At 42.2% G+C, this 16,415-nt stretch overlaps 1 long non-coding RNA gene and 1 pseudogene across 1 annotated transcript in view, besides 2 other annotated features; both read right to left on the bottom strand.

Moving 5' to 3' along the window:
- The window catches only part of LOC105373903 (uncharacterized), a 40,146-nt gene extending 38,966 nt beyond the window's left edge, over positions 1-1,180 (bottom strand). Inside the window, exon 1 of the long non-coding RNA XR_001739904.2 lies at positions 612-1,180. This is a non-coding gene — a long non-coding RNA (uncharacterized LOC105373903). The remainder of the gene's footprint in view (positions 1-611) is intronic.
- Positions 6,759-7,053: a silencer, noted in NCBI's record as "tiled region #7025; K562 Repressive non-DNase unmatched - State 24:Quies". NCBI's record gives its function as "represses a minimal TATA promoter and a strong SV40 promoter by Sharpr-MPRA in K562 cells {active_cell/tissue: K562}" and the evidence as "EXISTENCE:reporter gene assay evidence [ECO:0000049][PMID:27701403]".
- Positions 10,367-10,486: an enhancer, noted in NCBI's record as "active region_17169". NCBI's record gives its function as "activates an Ori minimal core promoter by ATAC-STARR-seq in GM12878 lymphoblastoid cells {active_cell/tissue: GM12878}" and the evidence as "EXISTENCE:reporter gene assay evidence [ECO:0000049][PMID:35858748]".
- On the bottom strand, positions 14,268-14,713 carry RPL31P17 (ribosomal protein L31 pseudogene 17; annotated as a pseudogene).

Below are 16,415 nucleotides of genomic sequence, written 5' to 3'. Positions count from 1 at the left end.
GCTAAGTAAGTGTTAATTTTCATGATTCCGCATCCATTTCTCACCATATGCACCGCCTTTGATTTAAATCTGCAGTTTGTTTCCATCCAAGCCCAGACCAGGTGGTGATGTACCTTATCTTCACCATCCCCTCCCCCACTCTTCTTTTTGTGACTTTTTAATTTGAGCTTTATCAGGATTTCGGCTTTTTTTTTTTTTTTTGGAGGCAGGGTCTCACTCTGTTGCCCAGGCTGGAGTGCGGTGGCGTGATCACGGCTCACTGCAGCCTGGACATCACAGGCTCAAGTGATCCTCCCACCTCATCCTCCCAGGTAGCTGGGACCACAGCAATTCCACTCCTAGCTATGTACCAAAGAGAATTGAAAAGAAATATTCACAGAAAAATTTGTACATGAATATTCATAGCAACGTTATTCATAATTACCAAAAAGTGGAAGCAGCTCAGATGCCCATCAGCCGATGAATAGGTAAACAAAATGTGGTACATTTACACAATGGAATCTTATTCAGTCATAAAAAGGAATGAGGGACTCATCATGCTGCAACATGGATGAACCTTGAAAACATGAGGAGCCTCAGGACCGATGCTTCTGCTTCCTACCAAGACTCACCTGGTTCTCCAGCTCCCACACAGCCTTCCGAGTCAATACTGCCTGGCCTTAGTCTCTGAAAAATAAATATTTGATAAAATATTGGTACTGGATTCATGTGCTGCTCCTGGAGAAATTTACCTGCAATGTGAAATTCTGTAGGCATCATGGTACAGTGGGATGGTGTGATGGTGAGTCAGGGAGGAAGATAAGGAAACCTGAGTGCAATAGTTTGGATGTTTGATCTCTCCAAATCTCATGTTGAAATTTGATTCCCAGTGTTGGAGGTGGGGTCTAATGGGAGGTGTTTGGGTCATGGGGCAGATCCCTCATGAATAGATGATTGCCCTCCCTGTGTGTGGGCGGGGCAGTGAGTGAGTTCTCACTCTATTCGTTCTCACCAGAGCTGGTTGTTAAAATGAGCCTGGTGCCTGCCCCATCTCTTGCTTCCTCTCTGGCCATGTGGTTTCCACACACACCAGCTCCCCTTCACCTTCCGCTATGAGTGGGGAAGCTCCGTAAAATCCTCACCAGAAGTAGATGCTGGCACCATGCTTCTTATACAGCCTGCAGAACCATCAGCCAAATAAACCTCTTTTCTTTCTTTTTTTTTTCTTATTGTTTTTTGAGACAGATCTTGCTCTGTCACCCAGGCTGGAGTGCAGTGGCACAATCTTGGCTCACTGCAACCTCTGCCTCCTGGGGTTCAAGTGATTCTCATGCCTCAGCCACTCAAGTAGCTGGGATTACAGGCATGTGCCACCATGCCTGGCTAATTTTTGTATTTTTAGTGGAGATGGAGTTTCACCATGTTGGCCAGACTGGTCTTGAACTCCTGGCTTCAAGTGATCCACCTGTCTCGGCCTCCCAAAGTGCTAGGATTACAGGTGTAAGCCACTGTGCCAGGCCAACCTCTTTTCTTTATAAATTACCCAGCCTCAGATATTCCTTTACAGCAACACAAAAACAGACCAAGATACTGAGTATCTGCAGAACTGTCACTACTAAGCTGGGTGGCCTTGGCCAAATCACTCAACTGCTCTAGGTCTCATTTTCCTGAAACACAAGAGAATGAGTCTACATGCACATTTCTTAATATTGTTGGCATCAAGGACAGCTTTGAAAATCTGATGAAATAAATCTATAGACTCATCTGCTCAGAAAAATGCATATTGTGCCTAAATATTGAAACCACCTTTGCAAAATTGTGACTGAGACAGTGAAAGAGGTCCAATTTAAACGACTCCATCTTGCCTCTAACCTCCAAGCTGTCCTTGTTCATTCCTGGACATAAGCTGAACTAATTTTGGGAGGAACTTAGTTTATAGTTTAAAACAAAGAGAGGATAATAGCCCTTTCCCGTAACAAACTTCCTTCTTGCCTGGGGACTAAACTACTAACATTCGCCACAAGATTAGAAATTATGGTTTACTAGTCACATAGCTGGGCACTACAAGATTCTGACCCTCCCTAAACTGCTCCTAAGATCAGTTTAGGGATGTTTTGCAGACTCTACCCTTGATGTATCAACCAGCACCACCCAGATCAAGAAACCAACCCATCTGACCTTGTGACCCCCCCACCCAGGAAATGACTCAGCACAAGAAGACAGGGACGCCCCATGATTTCACCTTTGACCCAACCAATCAGCACTCCCCAACTCACTGCCCCTCCCCTCCCACCAAATTGTCTTTAAAAACTTTGATCCCCAAATGTTGGGGGAGATTGATTTGAGTAATAATAAAACTCCAGTCTCCTGCTCAGCCGGCTCTGCATTAATTATCCTTTCTCTATTGTGATTCCCGTCTTGAGAAATCGGCTCTGTGTAGGCAGTGGGTAAGGTGAACCCATTGGGCGGTATTTTTTGTATATCTGAAAGGGACAAAACTATGAAAATATAGGTGACAAACATTACTCATCTTTTCACATTCTGAAGAAGATACTGTATTTGCTCTACTTTCCTCAGGATCTTTGTTAAACAGATCAGGAACTTGTAGAGAGGAGAACTGGACGTAACAAGAGAGGCTGGATTGATTTACCTAAGAAAGGTCAGGGCGCTGATGTAGAAGGTAAGAATAGATCTGGGGTAGATAAAATGGACTTCATCAAAATTACAAAAGTGAAAAACAACCCATGGAAAGAGAGAAAATATTCACACGTCATTTATCTGACAACGGACTTGTGTCCAGACTATGTGAAGAGCTCTTACTAACTCAACAATTAAAAGACAAATAACTAAATTTAAAAATAGGCAAAGAATTTGAAAAGACATATCCCCAGTGAAGGTAGCCAAAAAGCTCATGAAAAGATATTCAGTCTCATTAGTCTGATTTGCCGTTAGGGAAATGCAAATCAAAACCCACAATGAGATACCACTTTACATCAACTAGGATGGCTAGTATAAAAAAGATAGACAATAACAAGTGTTGGTAAGAATGTAGAGAATTAGAACCCTCACACATTGCTAGTGGGAATGTAAAAGTGATTCAGCTACCCTGGAAAATAATTTGTCAGTTCCTGAAAAAGCTAAACATGACCTAGCAATTCCACTCCTAGCTATGTACCAAAGAGAACTGAAAAGAAATATTCACAGAAACATTTGTACATGAATATTCATAGCAATGTTATTCATAATTACCAAAAAGTGGAAGCAGCTCAGATGCCCATCAGCCGAGGAATGGGTAAACAAAATGTGGTACATTTACACAATGGAATCTTATTCAGTCATAAAAAGGAATGAGGGACTCATATCATGCTGCAACATGGATGAACCTTGAAAACATGATGCTAAAGGAAAGAAGCCAAGCATAAAAGGTTGTATTATTTCATTTATGTAAAATGCCAAGAACAGGGAAATCTATAGAGACAGACAGTAGATTAGTGGTTGCCTGAGGCTGGAAGGATGGAACAATGGGGATGCACTGCTAATGGGCACAGGTTTCTTTATGGGGTGATGAAAACGTTCTGGAATTGGTGATGGTTGCACAGTCTTGTGACTATACTAAAAATCACTGATTTGTAGCCTTTGAAAAGTTAAATTTTAAGGTACATAAATTATATCTCAACAAAAAGAATAGATTTGGGGGCACAGAGGAGAGAGGAAATGAAGATGACAAGGTCCCAGCATAAAGAGTTTTGGGAAGAATGAGAAAAGGCAGCTCAAGATATCTCTGCCTTGATGTGTGAAATGTGGGAGAGATGGGTGGGTAAAGAGGATTTTTAGGAAGCTTGATGTATATTTGGAAGATATTCCCACCTCCTTTCGTTACTTATTCTAGAAACTCCAGAAATTACATAGTTTAAAAAGGATTGTGGAATTGGATGTGTGAGTTTGTGGAATGTGATATTGAACTGGGACTTCCTTGGCTTACACATTCATTCAGTCAGCAAATGTTTATTGAGCATCTACTGAACGTCAGGTCCTGTTCTGTGAACCGTGGGATGCAGCGGTGAATAGGACAGAATGAAGTGTTACCCTCCTGGAACTCATAGTCACGGTGCGGAGCTCTGGCACAGACTTGATGACAAAAGTGAATACATGAGAATTTCAGGTGGTGACAAGTGCTACTAATAAAAAGAAGGTTGAGAAAACCAATAATGAATGACAAGATTCTGAGGGCTACATTTGGGGGAGTTCATGGGTACTTAAAGCCTATAGATTTAGAGACCTTAGATTTAGAATCTTGGATGAGACAATCTCTAAATATCCCTTTTATCTAGAAAAAAAACCCCTGTAACTCATGGATCAGACATGAAAGATGTAAAAGTGACATCTCCAAATTAAAAATAGCTAATATAAAATGTGAGTAATTTGAAAACTGCCAATTTGGAATTTATGCTAATGTAAAGAGGGGCTGGGCTGAGATTTAGTTTTATATTTATCCATAAAAAAGATTTGGCAAAATAAACAATGTTAAAGTCCAACCGCTTAACTAACTCCCTCAGTCAACTCACAGGCATTTCCTGAGGGTCTCCTGTGTCCAAGGAACTGAGATGACACCAAGAGGAGGCACTTGGCAGATGCTAAAACTGGAAGGACCTTGGGTGATGATGTAATAACGACTTCAATCCCTTCACTGTGCAGAGGAGGAAACTGATATTCAGAAGCCCAAGGGATGTGGCCAAGTTTCCACAGTTTGCTAATCACAGAGCTGGGATTACAGTTCAGGTGCCCTAATTCCAGGTTCAGTCAGAAGCATTAATTTGGAAATAATTGTCATGTTAATGGAAGATTGTCTATTTACTAAACCAAGGACCTAGCATCCCCTCTGAAACAGCATATTACTTCTAATTTCTGCTTCTACCCATTAATAATAATGAAACAGTATTTTGTTCATTTTTCCCCCTATTTATTCAGGTTCTTTATGAAACAATACATCACTTCTTAATTCTATTTTATCAGTTAGCAGTAATGATTGGCTGATTTTTTTCTTGCATTCAGCATGATATTCAGAAGCATTAGGAGTAGGAACATCATTTAGATACAGCCCCTGACTTCAAAAAGCTAAAAATCCAGAAGAGAAAATAAGACATGTTCACACATCATTATAATGTAGGGTAGATCTTGATGCCACCATGAGAGAGCCACCATTGACACCAGGTTCCCGAGGAGCCAGGTCACCTCTGCTTGGGTGAAGGGGAAAGCAGGAAAATGTATTCTGACTTTACAAAGCTTTAGAGAAATAAAGTCTGGAGTTCATTAAAAACTGTTCAAATCTTTGGGCAAGGAAAAGCATATAAGCTGCAAGGGAAAAATAAGCAATTTCCTTAAAGCCCCCCAAACAATCATTGTTTAACCACAAGGCACATTTTTTAAATTGGATACTGAGATTTTTAGAAGACTTAAGCAATACTCTGGGCAAATATCTATAACTGCACTCAAGTTGACATCCATTACACCTACACTTAGACTAATGTTAAAACACTTTAAAAAATTCAGTTCCCTCTAAACTGATACCTTTTGCTGTCATGGTTTCAGTTGCAGCTATAATTGTGTAAGGATCTGCTGAAATGACAGCGTTACATGTTTTTAATGAGGCTTGATGGTTTGTGATAGAATAAATACTTCAACATAAAACCAAATTCAATTTTATTAAGTTATAACTTACATACAGTAAAGTGAGGGGGTTTTTTTGGTTTTGATTTTGGTTTTTTGTTTGTTTTAAGACAGGATCTCACTCTGTGACCCAGGCTGGAGTGCAGAGGTATGGTCACAGCTCCCTGCAGCCTCAGGCATCTGGGCTCAAGTGATCCTCCTGCCTCAGCCTCATGAGTAGCTGGAACCACAGACACACACACACACACATGCCTGGCAATTTTTTACAGAGATAGAGTCTATGTTGCCCAGGCTGGTCTTTTTCTTTTTCTACTTCTTTTTCTTTTTTTTTTTTTTTTTTTTTGAGACAGAGTCTCACTCTGTCACCCAGGCTGGAGTGCGGTGGCACGATCTCGGCTCACTGCAACCTCCACCTCCTGGGTTCAAGTGGTTCTCCTGCCTCAGCTTCCTGAGTAGCTGGGATTGCAGGCGCACACCACCATGCCAGGCTAATTTTTGTATTTTTAGTACAGACTGTCTTGAACTCCTTAGACCTGGGCTGAGTAGCTCACACCTATAGTCCCAGCCTCCCAAAGCGCTGGGATTACAGATATGAGTTACTTAGCCCAGCTCTAAGTGTGTTTTGATGAATGGAACACTTTCTGTTGTGATCCTCACAGTTAGCTATTAGCACACTAAAGAGCTGCAAAACTGAACAGAGAGAAGCTGTCTAGGAATCAGTAATAATAGAAACCAAACATTTCAGCACATCCTGTGTGCTCAGGCAGTAGAGTTTGCTATTTACATGAATAACCTCAACTACTTCTTTCATTCCTACAGAAAAGGCACTTTTATAATCCCTACTTTACAGATGGAGAACCTCCAGCTTGGAGAGAAGTTTCTTGGCCAGGGTCACACATCCAGGAAGCGGCTTCCAAACTGGACTCTCCCTGAGCCAGCTCTACTAACTTGGGGGAGAATTTCGTCCCTTTCTTGCCTCTGTCACTAACTGGTTTTGTGATTTGGGGAAATGGATTCATCCTGGAGAAGGCTGGACTAACCCTCTGGTCCCCAGATGCCTCTAGTTCTCTTCCAGATCCCCACCATCCTGGTTCACAAGTGGAAATAAAACATTCTGACCAGTAGTAGCCCCAGGGCTGAAAGTCTCAGACAAACAGCTCTGGAAGTTAAAGAAACAAGCAGAAATGCCACATATGCTGGGACATAGCCCAGATTGCTCCCACGCAAACTCTTCCTTCTTTTTCCCACCCTGAGCAGCTGGCACAGTGGCCAGTACAATGCCATCGAGCAAAGTTCAGGAGGCTAAAGAAACACATGGTGAGGAAGTACATTCGGCCCCAGGCCAGCAGAACAATGTGGCCTCTATCTTCTGTTCTGGCTTCTCTGGTCTTGTCACATCTTCACAAACCATGAACAAAGAGATTTGAGTTGGCTGAGCCACCCTCGTTCTCCTGGCTTACATCACATCACCCCATTCGCTTCCTCCTCCCGCCACCCCCTCTCAGCAATGAAAGTCGACCATTGTCAGGTACGCTCAGAGGAAAGTGTATAATGAGAATGGGGAGCTGGGAATAATAAGGATGCTTATTCTCTGCAGCAGGAGAGTGAGTCTGGAGCCCTAGTTCCAAATTCTGACTCTGCTACCAAATGGCTGTACGGATTGGGGCGCTGAGATTTAAATCTCAATTTCTGCATTTGGAAGATGAGATTAATAATAACTTCAGAATGCTTCTGTGAAAACCAAGAGAGAGAGAATGCACATAAATGCCATAAGTAAATCCCAGAGTATGGCTTCCTGGCATATTTGACTTGACAGCACTGTGAGGAAAGGATTAGATTTGCACAGTGATTTGGGTAAACAGGTAAAGAGGCCCAGAGGGAGTTTTCACTGCTCTGGGACTCTGGTAGCCCTAGAGACTCCTGCTACTCCAGTCCTCTCTTGCTAACCCCCAGGATTGAGGGGTCAAAAATTCATCGCACTTGCAACATCTGTGTGTCAAGGCACACCTCTTCAGGGGCTCCATTATAAACTGTCTTACAAAAGTATGAATTGAATGGAATGATCACATTGATGTGAGTAAATCATTTTACCTCCCTTCACTCAATACTGCCTAATCACTGAGACCACGATATCATTTGTAAAAATAACCCAATGGCATATTCGGACCAATGGTGAGAGTAGGGATGCTTTTGGTTGCAAACATCAGAAAACCAGATTGATCTTGGCTATATTGCTCTTGCATAACAGGGACACCTAAGTTAGTTACTGGTGTTTGTTTGGGATATATCGATGCCAGGGTTTTGGACTGTTGTCTTCATAACTCCTTTGGAATTGCCCTCATGGTTTGCTAAGATGACCACAGACAGCTCCAAAATGATATCATCACACTGTTCAAAAGCAGGATGCAGAATCTTTCTCCTTGTGCACTAACCTCCCATCAGGCAGGAGGAAACATCTAGAAGCCCCTAAGCAGACTCCCTTATATCTCATTGGCCAAAACTAGGTCACATGGGCATTCTTGGCTGAGAGGAAGACAGAGAAAGCAAGTATCCAACTCGTTTAATGGGACACCAGCTGGGGGGATGGGAGGGGGTTTTCTGAGGAGTCAATTACTAGTGTTTGACTAAAGCTATGCAAAGTATTTCTGTTATAACTTAAAAAGAAAAGTCTCATTTCCAGATATTATCCAAACAAACTGACTTCCTATTATTCAAGTATATAAACAAAATTTTAAAAACCAGAGGATCTGCAGTTTCTACAACACCTGCCAACCCTCTACAGACATTTGGCAGCTTGGCCTATAACAGTTTGCTCAGATTTCTTAAAATAGGAATTCCCACTTTCCCCCAGGAAAGTTCCAGGATTCTTTCAAATGTCTCAGGTCTTAAGTCCAAGTTTCCTTTAAATTGCCTTTTCGCCCTAGTGCTTCGACAGTAATCTCACACTGATCACGTCATATAGAGGCTTCTACTACATTTATATCTCAACATCTTCTTGGAAGATAGTCTTTAAAATATGAAGTAGTATTTTTTGTTATTTTAAAGTATAAAATGTCAATATTAAAACCAATAAAAATATTAAAATATATTTTAACATCATCATGGGCATGGATGAATCAATCAAACAGTCCTAGCTTATAATGAAAACCAGCAGTCTTCTGCCTCACCTTCCAATCCTGCTTCCAGCGTCAGTAATTTTCAACTCCTTTTGCTTTTTCTATATGTCTACATTGCATGCTTAAACTGCTGCTTCTTCACTTTTTAATTTTAGACCTCATCTGTTAGCACTCTCCCATGCAACAGGAGGATTTGACTCCCTCGCATTCTTGCACCTATTTTTCTCCTCCACCCATCATCTCCATGTAGTTATGTCACTTTCTTTTTTTAATAAATGTTCCTTTTTACATTACATTCTGTTCTTGTTTTACTGTTGTAAAATTTTATCTTTCCAAAAATATCAATGACCATTTTCTGAAGTTTTCTCCTGCTATCTTCATCTCTCCCATGTTCCTTGTTTGGTATATTCTCTCCTGTTGAAGCCTTTCTTGAAATGTCTGGTGATTCCTGGATGTCCATTACTGTCACTAAAAGCTGAGTGGCAGCTCTGTGTGAAAAGACTGTTGGTGGGCTTCACTATGGTGTGGCAGATGGGGACCTACAGAAATTGGAACCTGGCAGGTCTTCCCTCTTCTGTTGGTCAGTTTCCCCAGAGAGGAACTCACCAGTCTCCCATTGGAGGAATATAAAAGTGGCTGCCTAGGATCATGGGAACCTAGTGTGGGAAGGGGACTAAGGAATTTACCATCTAATAGGAAGTTCCACTGAATCTGCTTTAAGGGCACTTCACCACCCCCATCCCCTTGGTTGAGCCTGGTGTCCCAGAGCTCAGAGGTTCCCTAAAATTTCCAAGAGCAAAGCTCCGGTGCCTATCCAGGTAGAGGGTGACTATGCTCCAGGAACTAGGGCAGGAAATCTGAGAGCCTGACTGCTACTTCAAGGGACTTCCCATTCCTCTCTCTGGATTTTCCCTCCACCCTCAACCTTCAGTTAGGTGGTGCCTTCCATAGCTCAGCTTCTCCCAGGTTCTGCAGTGGGAATCAGCTTACTCCTTACCGGACTTTCCCCTTCAATTCTCTCTGGCATTAAGTTTCTGCCTGTTCTGCTCTGCCAGGTCAGTTTCCACTTGTCCTTCTGTTTTCCATTTTGCAAAATAGTGTTGACATCACTTTCTCCTCTTACTCATCTCCTGTTCTCTTTGGGACTTTCTTACTTTTGACCATTTTTATTCCTTTATTTACGGAGTTTCGGGAAGGAATAAATATTAGTGCAGGCACTCAATTTATGATGTTTAACTGAAAGTAATGAATGTTTAACTTTAGGTGTCTAATTTTAGCTCAGCATATGCCCACCTACCTCTGTGTGTGTGTGTGTGTGTGTGTGTGTGTGTGTGTGTGTATTTAGAGAGTCAAGGCAAAAATTTTTATGTCTTAGGTTAAAGAAAGACTACACTTTCCAGATTTCTTGCAGCTTGCTGCCATGTGGCTAAGTTTAGGCCAATATAATGAAAGTGGAAGTGGTGTGTGCCACTTCTGAGCCTTGGCCTTAACATACAACTCAGTGCTTCTCTGGTCCTTTCCTTCCGTTTTCCCTGTGGGCTGCAATGTGGATGTGGTAGCAGCCAGCTTCAGCTCAACAAAGACAACACCCTAGGGGCTGGTGAACAGCAGGATGGAAAGGACTTGGGTCTCTAAATGAACACGTGAAGCAGAGCCACCCACCATCCTGGACCATTCGCCTCCAGACTATTAGGTAAGAAAGAAATCAGCTTCTTGGTCAGGCCTCTGTAATTTGAGGTTGTTTTGCAGCTGAGCCTGTGCTTTCATGCAACCCTGTTCAATGGCTCCCAAAGTGAGTCTATGGATAAGCTGCATTTCGATTGCCTGGGGCGATTAAAATATTTACCAATCCCAGATGCCACTCTCAGAGATGTTGATTCACTCAGTCTGGGATACAGTGCAGAAATCCTTTCTTTTTTTAACTACCTAGATTTTTCTGATACATTGCCAAGATTATGAAGCACTGACCTTGTCCAATTTACTGAAACATGTGTTCTTTACATTCCCATGTTTTTCTCCCTCCCCATTCATTTTCTCTCCGTTTCCATATTCTCTTCCTGACTCCTTTGCTAAAAGTCAAATGTAAATGTTATTGTAGCAGACAGTTTTGTTTTTCCAGAATCGTTTCACCCTGATTTTCCTTTGGGGAACCCCTTATTTTCTTTTTCTTTTTTTTTTTTTTTTTTTTGAGACGGGGTCTCGCTCTGTCGCCCAGGCTGGAGTGCACTGGCGCAGTCTCAGCTCACTGCAAGCTCCGCCTCCCGGGTTCACGCCATTCTCCTGCCTCAACCTCCAGAGTAGCTGGGACTGCAAGTGCCCACCACCACGCCCGGCTAATTTTTTGTATTGTTGGTAGAGACGGGGTTTCACCGTGTTAGCCAGGATGGTCTCGATCTCCTGACCTTGTGATCCGCCCACCTCGGCCTCCCAAAGTGCTAGGATTGCAGGCATGAGCCACCGCGCCCGGCCGGGGAACCCCTTATTTTCTATACTCAGTCTACATGGTTCAGACAAACCAGCCATCTGCATCGTACCCCTAGCTCTTGAGAGCACACTGAACTGCACAACATAGACCAGGGCAATCAGCATATTCCAACCTCTTGACCGTACTGATGGTTCATAGATGGATAAGTCAGTTTAATGAGACCCAGTCCTAGGGAAAATAAAAGCTATTCTTCCCCAGAGAATGCTGACCCGGTGGGATGTGTGCCTGCAGCTGCTGGTAGCTATCTTACCACCATAAAAGGAGTCTAAGAGTGAAGTCCACACAGTGGAGACAGGAGAGGAGAGACGGTGCAAGACTGCATTCTGATGATAGCATTTGTTTTTTTTTTATTTTTGGTTTTTTGGAGACTGAGTTTTGCTCATCACCCAGGCTGGAGTGCAATGGCATGATCTCAGCTCACTGCAACCTCTGCCTCCTGGGTTCAAGCGATTCTCCTGCCTCAGCCTCCCAAGTAGCTGAGATTACAGGTGTGTGCCACTACACTTGGCTAATTTTTTGTATTTTTAGTAGCGACCAGGTTTCACCATTTTGACCAGACTGGTCTCGAACTCCTGACCTCAGGTGATCCGCCTGCCTCAGCCTCCCAAAGTGCTGGCATTACAGGTGTGAGCCACCGCACCCAGCCCTGATGATAGCATTTGAGTATCTGGATCTGTGCCTAAATCCCTAGACTTTTCAGCATGTAACTCAATTTTTTTTTTAAGGAGGAGAGTGTCCTGACTATTAAGCATATATACATATTAGTATATTTATAATGTTATATTATTTTATTATAATTATATATGCATATATAGCTTATATATAATATAGGTTTATATATACTTATACATCTATACATACACACATTATAATTATAAAATTAACTGTCAAGTTCAAAAACAACACGTTTCTAAGTAAATGAACAGGTAACATTTTAAAGATATTTTCAAAAAGAATAATCATAGATCAACATATCTAATATATCACTCACCTGTTTTAAATAGTATTTAGGCCCAGGTGTGGTGATTCACACCTGTAATCCCAGTCCTTAGGGAAGCCAAGAAGGGAAGATTGCTCGAGGCCAGGAGTTTGAGACCAGCTTGAGCCACATAGCCAGACCCTGTCTCTACAAAAATTTTTAAAAAGTAGGCAGGTGTGGTGGTATGTGTCTGTAGCCTCACCTACTCCAGAGGCTGAAGCAGGAGGATTTCTCGAGCCCAGGGGTTCAAGGTTTCAGTGAGCTATGATCATGCCACTGTACTCCAGCCTGGGCAACACTGTGGGACCCTGTCTCTGAATAAATATATCTAGGGTATTTTCATCTCTGAATTTTCATAAAGCTTATGCAAACAGACCTTTGAACAATTATGCAAATGTCTATGTTACAGTGCCAATTTTCTGGTTACAGTACTAGACTGTATTCTAGAGTTTTCTCAGGTCAGATCTGACCATTTTGCAAGCACTATAAGACAACTTAAAACAAAATATGTAAAATACATTAGGCCTCTTGGCCCAGGAATACAGATTTTCAGTGTTAAAGGTATTTGGTAAACTTTAATTTGCTCATGATAAAGAATATAATTTAGAAGCAGGCTTTTCTTGTGGCTCTCAGGAAAATTAAAGTGGGTCTGATAGATTGAGCTTGTCATCACTTTCCAATATCCCACATTCAAGGCACAGAGGCTGTATGCGGCAGTACTGTGGATGGACCTCCCAAAGCCATTCCTACACTCCTCTCACACATGGGGTCAGGGCTGGCACACCATGGCCCAAATCCAGTAGGCTGCTAACTTTTGTATAGCTGTGACCTAAGAATGGTTTTCATATTTTTAAATGGTTGAAGAGAGATCAAAAGAAGAAGAGTATTTTATGAAAATCATATGAAATTCAAAATTCAGCATCCCTAAATGAAATTTTATTGGAATACAGTCACATTTGTTCATTTATATGTTATCCATGGCTGCTTTTGCACCATAATGTCAGAGATTAGTTGTAACAGAGACCAAAAGGCCTGCAATGCCAAAGTTATCTATTATCTTGGTAGTTACAGTTTGTTGACTCCTACAATACAGAATAGAAAGTCAGATACTTTCTCAGCCCTATTTGTACCTGGGAGTGACCCATGTGACCCAGTTCTGACAATGAGATGTCAAGGAAAGTCTGCAAGAGGGATTTTGGGAAAGAAGAGTGTTTCCTAAATAAAGTAGAAAACGGCCAGGTGTGGTGGCTCAAGACTGTAATCCCAGCACTTAGAGAGGCTAAGGAGGGTAGATCACTTGAGTCCAGGAGTTTGAGATCGGCCTGGGCAAAGTAGTGAAACCCTGTCTCAAAAAATAAATAAAATAATAAATAAATAAAAATAAAAATAATTTTTTTTTTAAATTAGCCAGGTGTGATGGTGCATGCCTGTAGTCCCAGCCACTCAGGAGGCTGAGGTGGGAGGATTGCCTGAGCCTGGGAGGTCGAGGATGCGATGAGCCATGATTGACCAGTGCACTCCAGCCTACGTGACAGAATGAGACCCTGTCTCAAAAATAAATAAATAAAGTAGGAAACTTTAACCTAGATGTGATATCTGGAACTGTGGTGACAATTTTGCCACCATAATGAAACAAGCATGAGGCTGACAGCACTCCTATCCAGGATATTCCTGGGTATGTTGGTCAAAGATCCAGTGTTTCTTGTCTCTAGAGCTGGAGTTGATTTGAAGCCATGTTTAGTTTGTCTAAACCTAGTCTCGACAATGGTCACTGGGGAGAGAATAATTTAGACAGATACTTCTAGTGGGAATCTCCATTTCTTTAGGAATTTAATTGTGGTTAGTAACCACAGATTCCAACTGAGGGGAGTTCAATCTCAGCCCAAATTAAATCTGCCAGGGTACTTGGAGTAGGAGGGACATAAACACAAGTTTAAAAAGCTGTGTTTCAAGATAAAATGTGCTCATTAACTGTGGCAAAGATGTAAACATATCAATCATTGCTAATTCCCACTACTCAGTGAATCTTTTTTTTTTTTTTGCTATTTTATAACTTTATTTGATGTATTTGATGATCAGAGATTAGTTCTTGTCCACATTGACTGTCTGTAGATTTTTGAAAGTGGTAACAGGTACATAGGTAACCAAAGTATAGAGCTTATTTGGTGAATCTTCACCCTCATTACGTTTTCTGGACAACCGCACATGGATTCCCTATAGGACATTCCTTATTCCTTTGGCCCAGACAGCTTTGTTGAGCCTGGTATCAATGCGTACATCTGGAGTTCCCATCTCCTTCATGGCAAATTTCCGAATCTCTTTGAGTGCCCGAGGAGCACGCTTCTTGAAGCCCTCTCCATGGATGCGCTTGTGAATGTTGATGGTATGTTCTTGGGTCACCACCTCGTTGATGGCAGAAGGGCCCTTTTTCTTCTCGCCACCCTTCTTTGCGGGAGACATTCTGCCGGGTCTAAGTTGGAAAGGAAGTTTTGTTTTTTGTTTTTTTGAGATGGAGTCTCGCTCTGTCGCTCTGTCGCCCAGGCTGGAGTGCAATGGTGCAATCTCAGCTCACTGCAACCTCCACCTCCTGGGATCAAGTGATTCTCCTGCCTCAGCCTCCTGAGTAGCTGGGATTACAGGCATGTGCCACCACACCCGGCTAATTTTTGTGTTTTTAATAGAGACGGGGTTTCACCATGTTGGCCAGGTTGGTCTCGAACTCCTGACCTCAGGTGATCCACCCACCTCGGCCTCCCGAAGTGCTGGGTACAGGCATGAGCCACTGTGCCTGGCCTACTCAGTGAATCTTTTGTAGAGGAGAGATAATTTTATTATTGCAAGTGAATACTTAATAGGACTTGATTGTTAAATTTTGTAATAGCAATTTAGATCATGAAATCTCTAGCAGGGCCATTCCATCCATGGTCTTTTCGGGAACAAGACATCAATAAATAAGATATATATATATATATATATATATATTTTTTTTTTTTTTTTTTTTTGAGATGGAGTCACCGTCTGTTGCCTAGGCTGGAGTGCAGTGGCGTGATCTCGGCTCACTGCAACCTCCACCTCCCGGGATCAAGCAACTTTTCTGCCTCAGCCTCCCAAGTAGCTAGGATTATAGGCACACGCCACCACGGCCAGCTAATTTTTGTATTTTTAGTAGAGACAGGATTTCACCATCTTGGCCAGGCTGGTCTCGATCTCTTGACCTCAGGTGATCCGCCTGCCTCGGCCTCCCAAAGTACTGGGATTACAGGCATGAGCCGCTGCACTCAGCCTCAATATGCATATTTTTAACAAGTAAAAGGATGAACAAAATACAGTAAAAACTTAGAGTAAATGCTGTATAAAGATTAGGGCATTTCCTTACATTTCATACCTTTAATTATATCTTGAGTTTCCAAAGCCACAGAGTCTAGGCACGTCTTCATTAAAAATATGTTAGAAATCCATTATAGGAAAAGTTTTCTTCCTGCAGAAAGAGAAACTGAAGCACAGAAAAGATGGTCACAATCACAGAAAAACTCTCTCTGTGGGACTCAGACTTTTATGGAATAGTCAAGTTTTGTGGCCACTCAGACAAGACAGTGCATTAAGGGACACGCAGAACAAAATCCCACCCAAACATATGGAGAACTTCTAGAGCCTTAAGCCATTATTCACACTATATTCCCAGTAAATGGGAAATTTCGAGGTATCATAGGCTATACAGCTAAGTTGGAATTAGTTGCTTTCCAAAAATTAGTTTAAAAGCTGCCCTCTGGAGTGTCAAAAAAAAAAAAAAATGCTTCCTGGCCAGGCACAGTGGCTCACACCTGTAATCCCAGCACTTTGAGAGCTCGTGGCAGGTGGATCACTTGAGCTCAAAACTCCATCTCTACTAAAAATACAAAAATTAGCCAGGCATAGTTTGCATGCCTGTAATCCCAACTACTTGGGAGGTTGAGGTGGGAGGATCACCTGGGCCCAGGAAGCAGAGGTTGTAGTGAGCCATGATGGCACCACTGCCCTCCAGCCTGGGTGACAGAGTGAAACCCTGTCAAAAAAAACAAAAACAAAACACCCCCTACCATCCCTGCCAAAGGTAGAGAGAGCTGCTAGCTGGGCACTGGATACCAGGGTCGTACAGTATTTTTGCCTAGAATGACCAACCATCCTACTTTCCCTGGGACTGAGGTAGGGG

The sequence above is a fragment of the Homo sapiens genome, chromosome 2, assembly GCF_000001405.40.
Source record: "Homo sapiens chromosome 2, GRCh38.p14 Primary Assembly".
Classification (NCBI taxonomy): domain Eukaryota; kingdom Metazoa; phylum Chordata; class Mammalia; order Primates; family Hominidae; genus Homo; species Homo sapiens.
The sequence above is the reverse complement of the archived record's forward strand: the minus strand, read 5'-3'. Positions and strand labels throughout refer to the sequence as shown.